Source organism: Homo sapiens, chromosome 12 (assembly GCF_000001405.40).
Source record: "Homo sapiens chromosome 12, GRCh38.p14 Primary Assembly".
Lineage (NCBI taxonomy): Eukaryota > Metazoa > Chordata > Mammalia > Primates > Hominidae > Homo > Homo sapiens.
Genome location: NC_000012.12, coordinates 61,796,587 through 61,818,540, shown reverse-complemented (window position 1 = coordinate 61,818,540; position 21,954 = coordinate 61,796,587). Strand labels below are relative to the sequence as shown.

At 36.2% G+C, this 21,954-nt stretch overlaps 1 protein-coding gene across 6 annotated transcripts in view, besides 1 other annotated feature; it reads left to right on the top strand.

Annotated features, from left to right (window-relative positions):
* Window positions 1-21,954, top strand: part of TAFA2 (TAFA chemokine like family member 2) — a 551,762-nt gene that overhangs the window by 441,494 nt on the left and 88,314 nt on the right. The gene's annotated exons all lie outside the window — the stretch shown is intronic.
* Window positions 13,697-14,343: an enhancer, noted in NCBI's record as "OCT4-NANOG hESC enhancer chr12:62197979-62198625 (GRCh37/hg19 assembly coordinates)". NCBI's record gives its function as "activates a minimal SCP1, AML or CMV promoter by ChIP-STARR-seq in primed H9 embryonic stem cells {active_cell/tissue: H9 hESC(primed)}" and the evidence as "EXISTENCE:reporter gene assay evidence [ECO:0000049][PMID:30033119]".

Sequence of the window (21,954 nt, the reverse complement as noted above, 5' to 3'; positions counted from 1 at the left end):
CTTGAAGGATCCTAGTGTGTGTGTGTGTGTGTGTGTGTGTGTGTGTGTGTATTTTTTTGAGACAGGGTCTCGATCTGTCACCTAGGCTGTAGGGAATCTCAGTATTTAACAAAAGTTTAAAATCCACTAATTGTAGTCCATTTCATCCCAATTTTACTGATGAGAAGATTGAGGACCTGAGAAGTTATGTTACTTATCCCAAGCAAATAATTATTGTGGCACATTTACCTATTCAGTGTAGGTTAAAAAAAATAAGCACTGAAGTGAACAATTTTTATAGAATGGGGTTTGACAGATTCTATTTGATAAAGAAAAAGACAGACGTGACAATATAGAACAGACAGAATGAGTTGAAGATTTAATGAAGAGTAAGGAGGGTAAAGAGAAAGTCGAGGCTTTAGAAAAATGATCCAAGTCGATCAGCTGAAAGTCCCAATAGAGGGAGATGTGGATTCTGTTCTCCCGGTGAGGATGGCAGGCATCCTGCTCTGAATTATGAGGAGGAATGATACAGCTGATGTTGGACACTGGGGAGAGTCTGCTTTGGCTAGTTGGCAGCCTTGGGTGTTGCTGAAGGATGATGGAAGCAAGGAGTGAAGGTAACTGAATAGCAGAGGCTCCCTAGAGCCATCCCTGTGATTTAAAGTTTCTGAGAATGAGGTTTGGAGCACTTGGGGAAAAAAAATGCCTGAAGGTAGGTAGAGGTTGGTTGAGGAGACCACTGAATTGTGTCAATATGTCATTTTGAGGTAGCTGATTTATGTTTATTTTGGCCATTTTTACATATCACTGTTATTGCTTTTTGCTAAAATTCACTCATTGTGGCCTTTTTATGGCTGCTCTGTGCAGCACTAATCTGCATCAGAATTGGGAAGAGATATGGCATCTGTCTTTAAGACCCAGGGCGTACCTAGCTGCCACTTAACACAAAAAGAACCTCTTTAAAACACTAACTTTAAGATAACCTTTGGAGTTGAAAAAATAAAAAGCTCTCTCTTGGGAGAAAAAATTCTTGTCTAGGAATTGATCATGTATGTGTAAGATTTCCAGTAAGTCAAAGCCATATAAGTTCCTTATCATATAGTCTATATCTCTATGGCATATTTTGACACTTAAATATTATCCTAATAATAATTAGGATGTATTATTTTAATATGTATTAGTTTCACTATAATAATAATAACTATGATTATTATTCTTTTTGCTTTGTGACAGACTAGGCCTTGTCACATGAAGGTAGGTTAGGAAAATATGTTTATTTTTATTTACAGATTAGGAAATAAATACATAGAAGTTAAGTTACTTGTGAAGATTCCCCATCTGATTACACACAAGGGTAGGTTTAACAATCTTGTCTTCTTAATATAAGCCCACTTTCCAGTCACTATATCAGGATGTCCTCATGTAGCATATAAGATAGCAGTACATGTCATGCTGCTTCATATATTGCCATCTCAATTACTGTGCTTATGTGTAGTCTCTTCAAATAGACTGCGAGCTATGGAAGTAGCAACAAAATTCTTTTATTTCTTTTGGGCTTCCAACCTGGTAGACAGTAAATACTTATTATTTACTTACAATTTCTCAAAGGCATACTATTACAATATATATAATAATCTGGCTGTCTTAGTGCCAGACCCTATGCATACAAAAAAAGTTAGACAATATCTTTGTCCTCCAAGTGTTCAGTCAGATGTGAGAAGGACAATAAATCCAGCAATAAGTATGGCTGCCTCCTTGTCATTCAAGTCTCAGCTTAAATACCTCCTCAATAAAGACTTCTCTGACTCCCAGTCTAAGGATGCTTCTTTACCCTAAACTCTAATACATCTTGTCAATTTCTGAAAAATAACTTATCCCAATGCTCTACTTAAAATAGCCCTAGGAACGCTTAAATACTGTTGGTGGGAGTGTAAATTAGTTCAACCATTGTTGAAAGCAGTATGGTGATGCCTCAAAGAGCTGAAAGCAGAACTACCATTTGACCCAGCAATTCCATTACTGGGTATATACTCAGGGGAATATAAATTATTCTACAATAAAGACACATGCATGCAAATGTTCATTGCAGCACTATTCAAAACAGCAAAGACATGGAATCAACCTAAATGCCCATCAATGACAGCTGGATAAAGAAAATGTGGTACATATACACCATGGAATACTATGCAGCCATAAAAAGAAAAAGATCATGTCTTTTGCAGGAACATGGATGGAGCTGGAGTCTATTATCCTTAGCAAACTAGCACAGGAACAGAAAACCAAATATTGCATGTTTCCACTTACAAGTGGGAGCTAATGATGAGAACTCATGAATACAAAGAAGGGAGCAACAGACACTGGGGTCTACTTGATGGTGGAGGGTGAGAGGAGGGAGAGGAGCAGGAAAAGACAACTATTGGGAACTAGGTTTAATACCTGAGTATGAAATAATCTGTACAACAAACCCCCATGACATGAGTTTACCTATGTATCAGATGTTCACATGCACCCTCAAGCCTAAAAGTTTAAAAATAAAATTAATAAAATAGCTCTGAGACCCACACCATCTTTTTTTTATTTTCCCTATAGTGCTTCTCCCTTCCTATATTATAATTTATCCCCTTGGTTTATTATCTATCTCCTTCCACTAGAATAGAAGCTCCATGAGAACAGCGACAATTTTGTCTTGTTCACTGTTGTATGCCCAGCTTTTAGAAAAGCAGATGCACAATAAACATTTAGTGCATAGAGAAAAAATTTTATCTAGCCTCTAGCTGTAAATGCCATCTAAATACTGCGATTCTCAAATTCTGTCTCTCAAATTCATGTCTCCAACTCTTACCTTTATATTGAGCCCCCAATAAATAGATTCAATTGCCTACTTTTTTTTTTTTTTTAGACGGAGTCTTGCTCTGTCTCCCAGGCTGGAGTGCAGTGGCACGATCTCGGCTCACTGCAAGCTCCACCTCCTGGGTTCACGCCATTCTCCCGCCTCAGCCTCCCGAGTAGCTGAGACTACAGGTGCCCACCACCATGCCCAGCTAATTTTTTGTATTTTTAGTAGAGACGGGGTTTCACCATTCACAGGATGGTCTCGATCACCTGACCTCGTGATCCGCCCAGCTCGGCCTCCCAAAGTGCTGGGATTACAGGCGTGAGCCACCACGCCCAGCCTCAATTGCCTACTTTTTATTTCCTTTTGAATGTCTAATAGGCATCTGAAACTTAACACTTTCAAAACATAATTCTTGATTTTCTTTTTTCCTCCCATGCCAAACTGGTTTACTCTACAATCTACCCAGTTTAATAAATGTTTTCATTATCTACCTACCTGTTCAAGTTAAAATTTATAGATCCAATCCAATGCCTATCTTCCTAGAAAATATATAGTAGATATATGTCCTCCTCTCTACTATTTCTGCCATGACTACTCTACTCCATGAAATAGTAACATATTTCACCTGAATTACTTAATGCAAAACTCTTCTGTATTTTCTATTGCTGCTGTAACAAATTACCACACACTAGGTGACTTAGAACAACACAAGTTAATTATCTTACATTTCTGAAGGTCAGAGATTCAAAATGAATTGGGCTGCAATCAAGATGTTAGCAGGGCTTTGTTCCTTCTGGAGGCTCTAGGGAAAAATCTATTTGTCCTTTTTAGCTTTTAGAAGCCACTGACATTACTTGGCTTGTGGCTTCACCCTTCATCTTCAAAGCCAGCAGCATAGCATCTTTCAATCTCTTTCTCTGCTTCCACTGTCATATTGCCTTTTCGGACTCTGACCCTCCTATTTTGCTCTTATAAGAGTCCTTGTGATTACATTGGACCCACTGAGATAATCCAGAATAATCTTCCATCTCAAGATCCTTTGCTGAAAAATATCTGCAAAGTCCCTTTTGGCATGTGAGGTAACATACTCACAGGTCCTTGGAATCACAGTGAGGAAATCTTTATAGGCAAGGGGTACTATTCTGTGTACCCCACCTTCTAAATGTGTTTCTTGCTCCTACTCTTGCCCTTTTCTAAACTGTTCTTCCTCAAGCAGCCCATACAGCCTTTTAAAAACCTGAATCAGATCTTGACCAGATTCAGAGAGAGTTTAACCACACCGTTCCCTGGTTAAGATCCTTCAATGTCTGCCCATTTAACTTAGAATAAATCTCAACTCCTTAAGTTGGTTCACAAGGCCCTGAATCATGGGGCTCCTGTTACCTCCACAACTTCGTCTTGCCCCATTCCCTAGCTTGCTCACTATAGCTCTCTAGTTAGTTTTCTTTATGTTGATTAAATATACCAATACCTTCCCTCACCATGAGGCCTAGCACTTTTTACTCCCTCTGGCACAAATGCTCTTCTTCAAATTTCTCAGCTGGCTGCCTCTTTCCCCATTTCTCTTGGTGAAGCTCTTTGGCTCTCTACTGCAAAAGAGATATTATTACTGCATTTATTTCCCTTATTGAAATAGTCACAACTGCAATGATTCTGCTTATTGTTTGCATACAGTGTGTGCCTTTTCTCGAATGTAAACTTCTGTAGGACAGATTGCTCAACTGTTACTATATTGATGTGCTCCGATATTTAGCACAAGGCCTGGATTTGTTGGTGTATTGCAAATGAATGTCTCAATAATAATAAAAGTAACTCCTATTGAGAGTGTATTATATACTTTATGTGATTTAATTTGTCTAAGCTTCACAACAGTATGAGATAGGTACATTTCTTACCTGCATTTTGTAGATGAAAAGACTGAGACACCAAAAAGTAAAATAATTTTCTCAGAGTCACAGCTAGTAAGTAAAACCAGAATTTAACTCAGGAAGTATGACTGTAGAGTCCATATTCTTAATTTCTATATTACACTAGTAGTTTCAGCCAGTAAAATTGGTGTTGATGGAAATAAACATGAAGAATATATAGTTTTAGCTTGGAGGAGGAATGTTAAAAATACAAATCAATAATTAAAATACTTGTACAAATTGCAGGCTAATATTCACCATACTTTTGTTATTGGGAAAATCTTTTAGAAAGGAAAAAATCCTAAAAGAGAGAATTGGTAGATTTGCTTATCTGAATATTGAGAGATCTTGTATGACAGAAATGCCAAAAATTAATTTAGAGGCAAATGGCTAAGATGTTTTGCAGTATATATGACAGAAAAAAGTTAATATTCTTACTATATAGATTAAGTCTTCAAAAAATAAGTAAGAAAAAGATACATAATTTTATAAGCAGCAGATACATGAGTAGGCAATTCACTAGGAAGACATACTATGAAAAGTATGGAAAAAGCTCAACTTACTACTGATAATCCAAGGAGTGCAAATTAAAGCAATGAGATTATTTTTGAACATAAAATTGTCAAAGTTTAAAAATGGGCTATTTGTCATATAATGATAGTAAACATAAATACAATCTAATTTTCTAGTAATCGGGCATTTTTAGATATATTATGATCTAGCCAATTGATGGAATGCTACACAATCATGATGATGATAGAGTTTAAACAGTGGGTTACACAACTTTAAGTATTGTTTGAAACTATTTTTGCAAAGCATTTTTTGTTTATATTTTCAAGGGAAAATTAGGGAAGGAGATAATAGCAAACAAGAGGATATTTTTTATTTTATATTTACCTGTATTTTCTGAACTGTCTTCAGTAAACATTTATTGAAAAGAAAAGTTGGCTGGGCGTGGTGGCTCATGCCTGTAATCCCAGCATTTTGAGAGGCTGAGGTGGGTGGATCACCTGAGGTCAGCAGTTCAAGACCAGCCTGACCAACATGGTAAAACCCTGTCCCTACTAAAAATACAAAAGTTATCCGGGCGTGGCAGGGGGCGCCTGTAATCCCAGCTACTCATGAGGCTGAGGTAGGAGAATCACTTGAATCCTGGAGTCAGAGGTTGTAGTGAGCTAAGATTGTGCCACTGCGCTCCAGCCTGGGTTACAGAGTGAGACTCTGTGTCCAAAAAAAAAAAAAAAAGATGGGAACATATATAATTTTATTGTTCATGTTCGGGGGATGTCATGTTTGGGGGTCTTAGGTTGTCCTAGGTCACTAGCTTCCTCAGGAGTGAGTTCTCCTGTTTAGTCCTATTCACGTCAATGATGAATCTCAGACACCATCTGACCCTGAAGCAGTTTATTCTGGCAGTACTTTTACAAGGCAGATGTTGGGAGCAGAGCAATGGCATGGGCCAGATACAATCAGGACATCAGATGGCCATCTGACTGGGAGGGTCTTGACTTGGAGACACCATTCCCAGAGTTTAAGGGATCTTTCCCCCTTTCTTATTATGTCTTCAGTCCAGGTCAGTTACTAGGAGTTTCCTTCAGAGGGAGTTTAAGTTATTCTTGTAAGAGTAAGCTTTGTTTTAAGGTTTCTAGGAATTGCATCTGTGCTGAGGTGGTCTTGTCTCCTGGAAACTCCCAGGCCAGGTTGCATCATGCTGCTAAGTGTCACATAGTTTTGGCCCCATGAGATTTTTGAGTAGGCCTTCTCACTATCATTAATCACATAGCCACAATACATCTCTTACAATATACCACATAGGGGAAAGAGGATAGGGCTTTTCAGTCTCATTATAAACTAGTTCAATCTATACTTGATCATTAGATTTATCTACCTAGTGTATAACTCTGCTAATGACTTCTGTTATCTGCTTCATAAAGTCAAAACCTTAGCTTGATATTCAAGATCCACAATCAACTGATCCCAAATTGTCTTTCTACCTCTTTGTTAATCCGTTTCCTGTTCTTGATTATAGATATTTATGTGTCCACTTGAAAGGGCTTTTAATTGCTTCTGCCTATTGAATTCTACCCATTCAGGCAGGGCCAATATTAATTGTAATTTTCTACGAAGAGTATGCTCTGACTCCCTGCTAAAAGTGACCCTTTTCACCTAAAGTCTCACAATACTCTGCAATATTATAGGATACTTACTATATACAGATATATAGTGGTTATTTTTGTATATGGCTCATGTTCCCAACTAGATTTTAATATGCTTGTGTCATAGTTCATGTCCTTTACGTATTTCTATTTCCCACAGTCTTTGAATGTCATCATGCCTTGCAAATAAAAACTTCCTAATTTAATGAACCGTGAACTTACAAGTTTGCCGTTCTCTTGCTGGTTTCTTAATAGTTTCTTTAATTCACTAATCACACAATAATCTTCCAATATATGGAGTATTTTAAATCCCTTCTCTGCCAACTAATACTATATAATCTTGGGCAACTTAATATCTCTGTGCTTTATATTCTTCAACTGTAGGGCTTTTCTGAATTAAATGTGATAATACATGAAGAATTGAACATTGTAAGCACTCAATAAATGTTAGCCAAATTATAAAAATAATGCTCATATGCATTATTACTACTAATAACTAATATTTGTGTGTTACTCTGTGGACATTGCCGTTTAAAAACTTCCCTTTTTAAGGAACGCTTATTTTTATTTAGATATAAGTTATATAACATTAATATAGTTTTTCTTTACTGTGTAGTGATTTGTCTACATGTATTAATTAAGATTACTCTAGCTTCTGTAAAGAAAAAAAAAATCATCAATTCTCGATAGATTAACCCAATGTAAACAGTTTATTCCCACCCACTTGGCAGTGGCAGGAATGGTGGTAGGTTGGTCTCAGTTCTACCTGATCTTCAAAAACACAAATTGACTGAACTCTTTTTTCTTCCACACATGATTTATAAGGTCACCTTGGGCAAGTACTTCCAACTGCCAAAATGGGAGGAAGAAAGAGATCACTGAGGATTGTACAGCAGATTCTTATGACCCAAGCCTGGAAGTGCAACACTTCACTTTTACCTTTATTCTACTGGCCTGAAATTAATCACATGACCCCACCAAGACACAAGGGAAGCTGGGAAATGTAGTCTCTATCTGGGCAGCTGCTTTCTAGCAACAACTCTCAAACATGGAAAAGACTATAAATCTTTGCGAGATAGATAGCTATTTCTGCCACATTATTTAAACTTTATTAATACTTGGATGTTATTACAGCAGTCACCTTTAAGTAATAGAAATCATTGTGTAAAACAATAAGTCTGATCTGCCCTCAATTGCCAGCACTGCTTTTCCTCATATTGTCTTCTTTATTTAAGGCTACATTTAATCTCTTTAAGTGTACTTAATAAGTGGAAATATCTATACTTAAAAACACAAGAGTCATGATCTAAAGTTACAGATATTCCTTAAAAAAAAAAAACAAAGTAATGGCTAAGCCTTCTTAAAAACAATTTTCCCCCATTAGAGAAAGAGTATAACTCATTTTAGGAAGCTGGGTTTAAGTTTGATATATCAAAAACCATAGAGGCAGAATTTCTTAAAATGTTGGGCATGGTTTATTTTGAAGAAAAATGTTATGGTATGCATTTATCAGTATTTGGGAAAACTGTAAATTATACAGGAATAGTAACAGGAAACTTGTATTTATTTTTACACAAGGGAAGACTTCATTCAGATGGCAAAGATCATGAGAGAAGGAAATGTGGTTCCCAAAAGGACTTTAACAACTCCTATGATTCCCTGGCAGATGTGGAGGGGTGGTCAGCTATGTCTTCAGAAAACATTGTGGGGTTAGGAAGTTGCCTAATTAGAAATTAGAAATCACCACCTGGAAATGTTGGCACATTGATGGTCTCAAACACATCACTGTGCATGGAGGTATTGAGATTTCCCTTTCGATGTTAGGGGTGGCTGTTAAAGCTGAGAAGGACTTGATTCTTCATATTGAAGACAACAGGGTGAAGTAGGTTCACAAGGAAACTTTAGAATAAGCTTTTCTACCCTCAACCATAAGTAAAAATTGGTTTTCCCTTATAGTAAAAAAACTAAGACATAAAGTCTGGAAGAAAACCCAGTAGTATCATTAGTCAAAATGTAGGGGTAATGCTTTTTTTTAAATTAAAAATGCTCTAAATCATGATTCTTTTGGAATCATGGATTAGTTAATAATCAGTGCCTGTTCTGTTCTTTCAGTAAAGAGCTATGTATGACATATTTTTATTATGACAAATGCCCTAAGACTTGGTCAACTACTTCTGAACCACATCTGGTGGAAAGAACAATCTCAGCAGGAAGGTAACTTAGTGAAAAAGTAAAGTTCAAAACTCAAGAATAATAACTAACATTTATTGATACTCACTATTTTTAAAACAGTTTATTTATTTTCCCAATTAAACTTACACAATAAGTACTGTTTTAATGTCATCCTAAATATAAGGAAGATGCTTTATAACTATTTTAAATATGAGAAAACTGAGGTTCATAATGGCTCAATAATTTTGCCTGAGGTTAGCTAATCAGTGAGTATTAAGGCTGTGATATGATCCAGGAAGCCTGACTTTAGAGATTGCACGTTGAACCCTATGCTTTCTGCTCATTTATAGGCATTGTTTTATGCACACACGTGCACATGCACGCACACACACTTTCAAGCTATGTGCTTTCACATACTTCAAACTTGGGTGTCATCTGTGACTCATCTATTTCTAGACTTAGAAAAAAAAGTCTATTTCTAGACTTAGAAATGGTGGTTATGGACAATAGATGAGTCACATTCGCTTAGGTGTTATTACAGCAGTCACCTTTATGTAATAGATGTAATAGATAATACATTTAATAATACAATTTAGATAACACAATTAGTAACAGATTTGATATAGTTGTTAATTCATTTGTGCCTGCATTTAATAAACATTTGCTGATTCCGTATGCGCTGCAGGCACTGTGCAAAGATATAAGGCTACTGTGACAACATTGATCTCGTTAATTCCAGTCTTTCCCTTCTGTAACCCATCTTGCATTACTACTTTCAGACCAAGTCCTTCAATGTTACTTTCATCCTGAAAAGCTAAGCTTTTCTGTCTAAACTTAAAGGCTTTTAAAAACATGGACCCAACCGTAACTTCCTGCTAAACTACATGACTTTTTTCTCATTTCTACCTCCATTTTCCTCACACCTTGTTTTGCTCATCAGCTTATCTAAATCCTAATCATATTTTAAGGTTAGTTTTCCCATGGAGTTACTACAGGTATTTTCTATGAGGTGGGGGATGTACCACATACACACATGTACAATTATGTACTGTATTAGTCCATTTTCATGCTGCTGATAAAGACATACCCGAGACTGGGAAATTTACAAAGAAAAAAGGTTTATTGGACTTACAGAAAAGAGGTTTATTGACCATTTGGTGCGGAGGCCTCATAATCATGGCAGAAGGTGAAAGGCATGTCTCACATGGTGGCAGACAAGAGAAGAGAGCTTGTGCAGGGAAACTCACCCTTATAATATCATCAGATCTCATGAGACTCATTCACTGTCACAAGAACAGCATGGGAAAGACCTGCCTCCATGATTCAATTACCTTTCACTGGGTCCCTCCCACAACGTGGGAATTCAAGATGAGATTTCAGTGGGAACACAGACAAACCATATCATTCTGCCCCTGGCCCCTTCCAAGTCTCACATCCTTTTTCATTTGAAAACCAATCTTGCCTTCCCAATAGTCCTCCAAAGTCTTAACTAATTTCAGCATTAACTCAGATATCCATAGTCCAAGTTCTCATCTGAGACAAGGCAAGTCCCTTCTGCCTATGAGCCTGTAAAATCAAAAGCAAGTTAGTTACTTCCTAGATACAATGGGGTTACAGGCATTGGGTAAATATAGCCATTCCAAATGTGAGAAATTGGCCAAAACAAAGGGGCTACAGGCCCCATGCAAGTCCGAAATCCAGTGGGGCGGTCAAATCTTAAAGCTCCAAAATGATCTCCTTTGACTCCATGTCTCATATCCAGGTCACGCCGATGCAAGAGGTGGGTTCCCATGGTCTTGGGAAGCTCCACTCCTGTGGCTTTGCAAGGTACAGCCTCCTTCCTGGCTGCTTTCATGGGCTAGTGTTGAGTGTCTGTGACTTTTCCAGGTGCACAGTGCAAGTTATCAGTGGATCTACCATTCTAGGGTATGGAGGATGGTGGCCCTCATCTCACAGCTCCATTAGGTGGTGCCCCAGTAGGGACTCTGTGTGGGGGTTCTGACCTCATGTTTCCCTCCCACACTGCCCTAGCAGAGGTTCTCCATAAGAGCCCCAGCCCAGCAGTAAACCTCTGCCTGGACATCCAGGCACTTCCGTACATCTTCTGAAATCTAGGCAGAGGTTCCCAAACTTCAATTCTTGACGTCTGTGCATTCTCAGGCTCAACACCACATGGAAGTTGCCAAGGCTTGAGGCTTGCACCCTCTGAAACCATGGCCTGAGCTTTACATTGGCGCATTTCAGCCACGGCTGGAGCAGCTGGGACACAGTACACCAAGTCCCTAGGCTGCACACAGCATGAGGAACCTGGGCCCAGCCCACAAAACCACTTTTTCCTCCTAGACCTCCTGGCCTGTAATGGGAGGTCCTGCTATGAAGACGTCTGACATGCCCTGGAGATATTTTCGCCATTGTTTTGGGGATTAACATTTGGCTCCTTGTTACTTATGGAAATTTCTGCAGCTGGCTTGAATTTCTCCTCAGAGAATGGGATTTTCTTTTCTATCGCATTATCAGGCTACAAATTTTGCAAACTTTTATGCTCTGCTTCCCTTATAAAACTGAATGCCTTTAACAGCACCCAAGTCACCTCTTGAAGGCTTTGCTGCTTAGCATTTTCTTCCACCAGTTACCCTAAATCATCTCTCTCAAGTTCAAAGTTCCACAAATCTCTAGGGCAGGGGCAAAATGCCACCAGTCCCTTTGCTAAAACATAACAAGCATCACCTTTGCTCCAGTTCCCAACAAGTTCCTCATCTCCATCTGAGACCACCTCAGCCTGGACTTTATTGTCTATATTGCTATCAGCATTTTGGACAAAGCCATTCAACAAGTCTCTAGGAAGTTCCAAACTTTCCCACATTTTTCTGTCTTCTTCTGACCCCTCCAAACAATTCTACCCCGTGCTGTTACCCAGTTCCAAAGTCACTTCCACATTTTTGGGTATCTGTTCAGCAGTGCCCCACTCTACCGGTATCAATTTATGGTATTAGTCTGTTTTCACACTGCTGATAAAGACATACCCAAGACTGGGAAATTTATAAAGAAAGACTTGGACTTACAGTTCCGTGTGGTTGGAGAGCCCTCTCAATCATGCAAGAAGGTGAAAGGCACATATTACATGGAGGCAGACAAGAGAAGAGAGCTTGTGCAGGGAAACTCCCCCTTAAAATACATCAGATCTCGTGAGACTCATTAGTTATCACAAGAAGAGTATGGGAAAGACCTGACCCCATGATTCAGTTACCTTTCACTGGGTGCCTCCCACAACACCTGGGAATTCAAGATGAGATTTCAGTGGGGACATAGCCAAACAATATCATATGCAATTTTTCTAACTGGTATACATTTATATAAGCATATAAAATACAAAAGTAAAAATCATACATGTCCTCTGCAAAGACACAACACAATGTGGGGAAGACTAGTTATGTTCTTTACCCTCTCCATCCCTCACACTCAAGTAACAAATCTTAATAGTTTGTTGTTACCTTCCATTATTTTCTCTCTGTGTTTTGATTGTAGGGACTAAGGTGAGATATGTTTGTAGTTAGTGTTATGTGTTTCTGAGTCACATAATAAACAATTTGATTTATTAGTTTAATTTGTTAATTTCATCAAGATGAAACCATCAGAAATTTAGGGTGAAATCTTATCATCTCAGCTCAGGGCTCTAGGAATAGAATATCATCATATTAAGATGTATTAGTGAGTTCCAGTTATTGATATCTCTATATTCTTAGAAGTTACAATTAAATAAGTTGCCATTTCCACATTAATCTACTAAATATAGGTCCTGTTTCTGCAGGTATATATTCATTCTGGAAATTCAAAAGAGGATTGTTTGGGGCATCTTGAGGAACATACCCTGCACAAAGGAATTACTTAACACAGCCATGGTGTTACTATGATCATATCTGCCACTATATTAATTAGTGTTACCAGAGTTTAACATTTGGGCAATGGACAATGAATCTTTTGAAAACATTTACTTGGCAAAAATTCAAAATGTACTTTAAGTGCATTTTTGTTTACAATGAAAAATATAAATATATTGTAAATATAGTATGGCATGATGTTAATATTTATTGAAATTTGGGCTTTTGAATTTAAAAAAATTGGATCACGAATGAGGTAATGTACAGAATCTCACTGGTGTGTGGCACAGGTCTTAATTGCTATCAGGTACCAGTTTGTAGAAGTGCCAACTGCTAATATATTTTGAAAAATAACAATTTAGGGAGTAAATATTGTGCCATGTATTAGAAAGCATTTCTTCAGATGTCATTTATTTTAAACATAATTATTAAATAATCCTAAAAAATTTGATTATAATATATGTTATATTTATTACTTGTAAATACCAGACATATACCCTTTTCTAGACAGATAAAATAGAGTTGTTAACTTTGGGCTAGGAATACTGTTAACATTCATACTGTATACTAATTATGGTTTTAAGCTTGTTGTTCATTATGAATAAGTATAGCAAAGCTTGCTTTGCTGTTTTAGAGTATGTTTGATTATTTTTATGTAGAAGTATAAATACTATAGAAATGGTATAGGTGACTTTCCAGATACCATTGGAATTCTGAAATTTTCTTATTTTGGGTCATGATTCTCTTGATTATGAGGTGTGTATGTTAGGTAAATTACCTAACTTCTGTGTGCCTTACTTTCCTCATTTGAAAAGTAGTAATAATAGCAGGTATAGCTGTAAAGGGTTAATGTCAGGTTTAAATGAGATAATGGGTATAAAGTGCTTAAAATAATGGGAGCCAGAAAGTGCTTCAAAGGTGTTAGAATTTATTCCAGGTAATAATTCCACAGAGTGCTGTAGAAACTTGTTTCATAGAAACTTAACTGGACTCAACAGTGTTGATAAACTGTATGCATGTCACCCAGAATCATTGTAATACAAAATGAAGTTCCTAACTCAATTGTCTGCTTTGAACTTTACCTAATCCATTTCCTGGGTGCATTAGCACATACTTGTCTGTCAGTAGGAGCTAGTTGAAGTACTCTTATTTTGCCTTTCTCTTGAAGATGATCAAGGAGAGAGTGCTTGCTGAGCTAATTCAAGTCTCCTTGAATTTGAATTGCTGAGAAAGCAGCATAAACCAGAATGTCTTCATTTATGGCAAGTTCTTGACATATATGTTTATAATGAGTGACATATATTTAAAGATAGACATAATAATGTTAACAACAGTAATAGTGAAATGGACACTAATGTCAATTGCTTGTTAAATTTTGAAGACTTATAAAAGAGAAATATGAGCCTTGAAGTTCTTTTAAAGTATAGGAAGCCATTATATTATTGTCTTGACTTGAATGAGAACTGTGAACTGATACTCCAGGTCTCACAAGAATCTACACTGTCTGTTGAAGATAAGAATTTTGACTAGGAATCTTTGAACAAATGCACTGAATTAAGTACTATTTCTCTCCTCAGTCTGCTGAGTAATAATAATGGGATTAATAATGCTTTTCATGTAGGCTTACTATGAATGTTAAAGGCATTAACATATGTAAGATGAGTAAACACTTGGCACATATGGAGTGATATATAAATTATAGCTATTGTCATTTTTTTAAAATTATACTTTAAGTTTTAGGGTACATGTGCACAACGTGCAGGTTAGTTACATATGTATACATGTGCCATTTTATTATGAAGTATGTACTATATTTTTGTTATTTCAGTGATGTATAATAGCAAAGTTCTCAATAATTCATTTAACTAGCCATAGAAGAAGTTATTATGCTTCTGACTTTAGAAAATAATAAAAATATTAATTTAAATAAATCAATGAACTATAGTTATCTAATAGCATGTTGGATACAATTTTAGAGAAAATGATGTTTATGTTCAAGTATTATGTCAGCATAAGGGAGTCTGTTAATATATATGCTAAAGGGGGATTTAGACTATTTTTAATCCATAAGCTGTACAATTATTGTTGTAGTATATTGCTCTTAATCATAGAAACTTCTTGTTTAGTGTATATAGAAGGAATAGAGCATCAGTGCTTAAAGCTGAGAACAAAGTTGGTTAGAGAATCTGGATAAAATCTATCTACCCTAAATGAAACCAGACATTGTTTTGTGTAACTAGAGAGTTAATTTTATAACATTGCCATCAATGATTTCTCTTTTACATTTTCTATTCTATTGCATGGTACACTTAGAATTCCAAGGCAGCTTTTCCCTAGTCAGAGAGTTTGAACTAATAGTACTTTGGCTTTCAAGCAGAAACAGCAGGCATGCTCACTAGTAAGTATTGCCAGTCATTTAATATATCTTTTATTTTTCTAAATTTGTCTTATTTATCCTTTGTATTCCTTGGATAAAGTATTGGTCAGATCTATGCTCCACAGGAACAAAATATTAAACACCTATTTTGTTTATGCTATTCATTCTTTAAAAACAGAACAGTTTTTTCCCATTGTCTAGAAACTGTTATTAAGAGACAGCTAGGAGTTTTAAATTATATTGCTTGCAGTATTGAACAATGCACCCATGGAGCTCTCTGACACTAAAAATAACCAACCCAGTGAATTCCTCTGAGGATTCCTTTTTTTCTAAGTAATTTTTTCTTTTTGTTACCATATAATAATTGCACATATTTATGGAATATAGAGTGATATTCCAATACATATATACAATGTGTAATGATCAAATAAAAGTAATTATTATATTCATTGCCTCAAACATTTATCCTGTCTTTCTGTTGGGAACATTCAAAATCCTCTCTTCTAGCTATTTGAAAATGTACAATAGCTTATTGTTAACTAAAGTCACCCTACTGTGTTGTTGATCTAGCTGTAGTAATTTTGTATCTGTTGCCTAACCTCTTCTTATCATCACCTCCCCTCTACCCTTCCCAGTCTCTTGATAACCACAGTTCTACTCTCCACTTCTATGCCCTCAACACTTTTTGCTCCCTCATATGAGTGAGAACATGCAGTATTTATCCTTCTGTGCCTGACTTATTTCACTTAACATGTCTTCCAGGCTCATCCATGTGCCTGTGAATGACAGAATTTCTTTCTTTTTGTGGCTGTATAATATTCCATTGCATATATGGACCATATTTTCTTTATCCATTCACCCATTGATGGACATTTATGTTGATTCCATATCTTGGCTTTTGTGCATAGTGCTGCAATAAACATGGGGGTGCATATATCTCTTTGATATACTGATTTTCTTTCCTTTGGATGAATACCCAACAGAGGGATTGCTGGATCATATGGTAGCTCTATTTTCAGTTTTTTGGGGAACCTTCATACTGTTTTCAATAGTGGCTATACTTTTTACATTCCCACCAGTGATGTGTAAGAGTTCCCTTTCTCTACATTGTCACCAGCAATTAGTTTTTGTTTTCTTGATAATACCCATTATAACCAGGGTGACATGAAATCTCACTGTGGTTTTGACTTGCATTTCTCTGATGATTAATGATATTGAGCTTTTAAAAGTATACTTGTTGGCTATTTGTATGTCTTCTTTTGAGAAAGATCCATTCAGATCCTTTGCCCATTTTTAAGTTGGTTTATTTGTTTTTTGTTGTTGTAGAGTTGTTTGAGGTCCTTGCATATTCTGGATATTAGACCCTTGTTGGATGAATAGTTTGCAAATATTTTCTCCCATTCTATAGGTTATCTCATCATTCTATTGATTGTTTCTTTTGCTGTGTAGAGCCATTTTAGTTTGATATAGTTCCATTTGTCTATTTTTGCTTATGTTGCCTGTGGTTTTGAAGTCTTACCCATAAAATCTTTGGCTCAACCAATGTCCTTAAGCATTACCCCGATGCTTTCTTCTAGTAGTTTTAAAGCTTCATGGCTTACATTTAAGTCTTTAATCCACACTGAGTAGATTTTTGTATGTGGTGAGAGATAGGGGTTTGGTTTCATTTTTCTGCATATAAGACACTTAATTTTCCCAGATCCATTTATTGAAGAGAGTGTTCTTTCTTCATTTATGTTCTTGGTGCTTTTGTCAAAAATAAACTGGCAGTAAATATGTGAATTATTTCTGGATTCTCTGTTCTTTGTGTCTGTTTTTATACCAGTACTATGCTGTTTCGGTTACTATATAGCTTTGCAGTATATTTTGAAGTCATGTAATGTGATGCCTTCAGCTTTGTTCTTTTTGCTCAGGATTGCTTTGGATACTTGGTCTCTTTTGTGGTTCCATACAAATTTTAGAATAATTTTCTTTTATTTCTGCAAATAATGACATTAATATTTTGATAAGGATTGCATTGAATCTGTAGATTGCTATGGGTAGTACTGACATTTTAACAATATTAATTCTTCCAATTCATGAACATGGGATATCTTCTATTTATTTGTGTCATCTTTCATTTCTTTTATAGTTTTCTGTAGTGTTCACTGCAGAGTCCACCTCCTGGGTTAAATTTATTCCTAGGTAGTTTCTTGTAGCTATTGTAAAATGAGATTCCTCTTAGACATTCTTTACAACTGACATGTACTACAGTGATCTTTGAAGTGTTTGCAGTATCTTACTCTAGAAGAATGATAAATGGCATCTCATTATCTTTTTTCTCTTTGCCCCATGTGGAGACTATTTTTGATCCTATGACTTATAAATATTCTCTTGAAGGTCAGCAAAGGACTTTTCTCCATAAAGGTCCTCCTTAGCTTTCTGAAACATTTGACATAGTTGTCTACCTTCTATCTTCTCCTTAGCTTTCTGAAGCATTTGACATAGTTGCCTACCTATCTCCTTCTCCAAGCTATCTCCCATTTATTTCTGTACCTGGTATTATCCTGCTTCTCTTCTATCTAAACATTCCTTCTTTTTGCTGCTTTTGCTCCTTTTTTGCTAAAATTCTGAGCTCTATTATTGCTAATGACCTCCATACTTTTGAAACATCATAGATTTCACTGTTGTAGCAAATCACTTCCTGATTCTTTTCATAGGCCAATTTCCTGAGTATTTGCTCCATATTTTCAGGTGTTTCTCCTTCAGTATTGGGCCCTGAACACTAATTCAATTGTTCAAATAAATCTCTTTCTTGTTTTTCTGATTTCCATTATTGAATCAAGTTTTCTTACCTTCAGTTTCCCTTTAATAAATGTAAATTGCATCAAGCTGTCAAATTTATTTTCTGAAAGCAAGGTCCCAAATATAAATTCTTCCTTCAGGAACTTTTAAACTTGAAAATAGAGTTCTCAGCCAAGAATATTACCAACTTCCTAAGGTTGTGGTGAAGATTAAAAGTGGTATTGTACATAAAAGTGATTAACATTATATCTGGCACATAGATAGTGGATATATTATTCATTACTATGACTAATTATATTATCTCTTGATCACTAATTTTATTACTTCAAATATTTTTGTCTTTTAAGTGTCATTTCAACTAATTATATAATATCTTGTTAGTTATTAGTCATATAAAAATGTCCGTTATTCATTTACCATTCCAAATGACAGTGTTTGTGGACAATGTGATTTACTTGATTTTATTCAAAGAAATGGGAGGATTAATACTCTCCCAGAAGGAGAAAGAACTTGATCAGAACACCAGTGACTTCTGTGTTTGCCCAAATTCCACCACTTGGATAAAGAATTTACCTTCTGGATCCTTAGTTTGTCACCGTTATTTTTTATTTTATTTTATTTTATTTTGAGACGGAGTCTTGCTCTGTCGCCCAGGCTGGAGTGCAGTGGCGCAATCTCGGCTCACTGCAAGCTCCGCCTCCCGGGTTCATGCCATTCTTCTGCCTCAGCCTCCCGAGTAGCTGGGACTACAGGCGCCAGCCACCACGCCCGGCTAATTTTTTGTATTTTTAGTAGAGACGAGGTTTCACCGTGTTAGCCAGGATGGTCTCGATTTCCTGACTTCGTGATCCGCCCGCCTCGGCCTCCCAAAGTGCTGGGGTTACAGGCGTGAGCCACCGTGTCTGGCCAGTTTGTCACCTTTAAATGTATATATGAATATATTTTCTGATTGCTTATAGGGTTATGGTGAGACTTCGATAGTAGTCTTATCTTAAGAGGGGATTTGTTCTTTGCCCTTTTGGAAGGGCTCTAACTTTCGTCTTAGCACTCTCCCCTCTCATCATTTTTATCAAACATGATCTCAAGATAGGATCAAGATGCTTAAGAACAAAGTCTAAATGGTTAATAACACTTATAGTGTGACTTCTTCTCAAAAGTGGAAAAAATACACTGCTAAGAAGTGAACTATAAACAGCACATTATTATTTTTGTGAGAAGAGAAAGAGAACCAAACATATGCTATGAGTAATATAAACAGACTCTGTGATACTGTTCTTCATCCACATGTTATTATTATCTGTTCTATGAGTTTAAAAGTAAAAACTACATTTTAATCACAAAAGTTGATAATAAAGCATATATGCATATTTGATACTAGTCATTAGAAGCCCAGTAGAGCTGAGGATAAAGGAAGCTATATTTTCTAATGCTTCTGTTTCTTTGCTAAAAGCTATTCTAAGATGTGCTGCTTCTTGCTGAGTTCAAACTATTGGCACTTGGCCCAGTGAAGGAAAAATAGAGAATTAAAATTGTTGGCATTTAGTGTTTCCTCTGAAAGATTATGTAATCAATTATCTTAGATAACATTCTATAGAACATTTTTAGTATCTCATGTAGCTTAGTAGATTTCTTTATCACTGGTCTTTAATATATTTCTACAAGATGTTTAACAATGTAATATGTAAGTATGAGAGAACTTTGCATTTTGATAGTTGTCCTATTGTACTCTCATTACTTGTCCAGCTTCACCTTTCCTTCACTTCACATGTGTTTTTATTGTCCTATTTCTTAGAAACATTATGCATTAAAAATGAACCACAGAAACCAAGAGTTGCCAAGTTCATAGACACAGAAAGTAGAATGGGGGTTGTCAGGGACTGGAGGAAGAGGGAAATGGGGAGTTATTGTTTAGCAGGTATGGAGTTTCAGTTAGGGAAAATGAAGAAGTGCTGGAGATAGATGGTGATGATGGCTGTACAACACTGTGAATGCACTTAATGCCACTGAAGTGTACACTAAAAATGGTAAATTTTATGTGTAACTTACGCATATACCTATGTAACAAATCTGCACGTCCTGCACATGTATTCCAGAACTTAAAGTATAATAAATAAAAAATAAATAAAATAAAGTCCAGGTGGCCCTGGAATCAGCAGAGACTCATACACACAAAAAAAAGACCAAATAGTTAAGAGAAATGATTTTGTAATTATAGGTCATGATGCATTAGCTGATCATGAAAGCAATTTAATAGCAAATTAATAGATCATGATCAGCATGTAAACCAAAAAAAAGAATAATAAAACATATGAATACATTGTTCATAATGTGAATGGTACTAAAACTTCTGTTTCATTATAATTTAGCCAATCAGCATCTATATGGTGGTTATATAGTCGTATGTGGTTGATACCTTGTTCTTTTTGGTTAATGCCCTATTCTAATAGATTCATGCCCATTACACAGTGGTTATTAAATATTTTGAAAATCATTTCTATATGAGTAGACACTGTATATGATATAAAATGTATTTCTTACTGTGCTTGAATTTCAAAAATTTAAAGACAAAAATTTCATACAGGAGAAAGTCTAATATAGACTGACAGCAAACTCTTGCATGGCAAATCTAAGGAACCAGCGTCTAGCTTGTGCCTAGTTTTAACTGCAGCATTAGCAATAAAGTTCTGTCTGTCCCCATGGCCATGGAAAGGGTCTCTTCCCTTTGTGGAAGATGAGATCAACAATTCAGAGAAACGTTCTCACCAGTGCCGAAGCACTGATTGAATAAAATGAGTCTATAAACCAAGGAGGCTGAATTCAGATGGCTGAAAATTGGCCAGGTCTTAGAGTTTCTACATGGAGGACTCCATCTGTGGTTTTATATTTTTTTTTTCAGACTTTTGTGCCCAGCTGATCTAGGCCAATTTGCTGTGTAATTCTTCCAAACCATTTCCTCACTCAGCAGCTATAAATCCATCCAACTTCCATTGCAGCTCATGGGCAGTATCCCGGGACTGTTTGGGGCTTAATTTCACTGGCTCATTAGTGCAAAGCTCCCTAGAGAATGCTTACATTTTTACTTTTTCTGGATTTTTTTTCTCCAAAGGAGCAGAAGTCTTCCTTCACAGATGCTGTTACTGGTAGCTGGCAGTGAGCTGATGGATGATTTTTCTTTTTCTTTTGGCACTGTGAGGTAGGGCATGCTCAGCATTGTTACTGTGGTAAACTATTCATTAGCCTCACTTTTAAAGGCTACTAGTGATGCTATTGGTGTGTGATGCTACGTAAACTCTGTTAACCATTCTACAACCAATTGGACTAAATAGGCTAATTGCTCAGTGAAATCAGCTCTTCCAGTGTAGCTAGTCTGACATCTGTGTGGTAAATACTTACCAAGATTTACTCTTGTGAATTTACAGCTGTTCTCTCTGTAACTAATAGACTGATTGAGAGAGTTTTGTAACAGCTGTTTGAGAGAGGTATAATGAGGTATGACCTCTTCACATGTACTTCTTGCTAGTTGTTAGATGTTTTTCTGCCTTTATATTTATGTTAAACTATACAGTCAGTAAATTTCAGGTTAACCATGACTCCATGCCATTTCTTATAATCTAGGAACACAAGGATGCTTCTCAAAGTTGATCAGCACTAAATTTAAGATAAATTGAAGGAAGGCACTATTTTCTCATCTATTAAGCACAAAGACAAATAGCTGGACTTAAAACTGCTAAACACTCAAGACTTTTCAAATCAAAGCACAATTTTAATAGTAATTTTCAAATTTCATTTCTGCTTTATTTTTCTCCATTTAAGAAATTATTTTCTTAGATCATGAGAATTAATGTTATAACTTTTTCTCCTT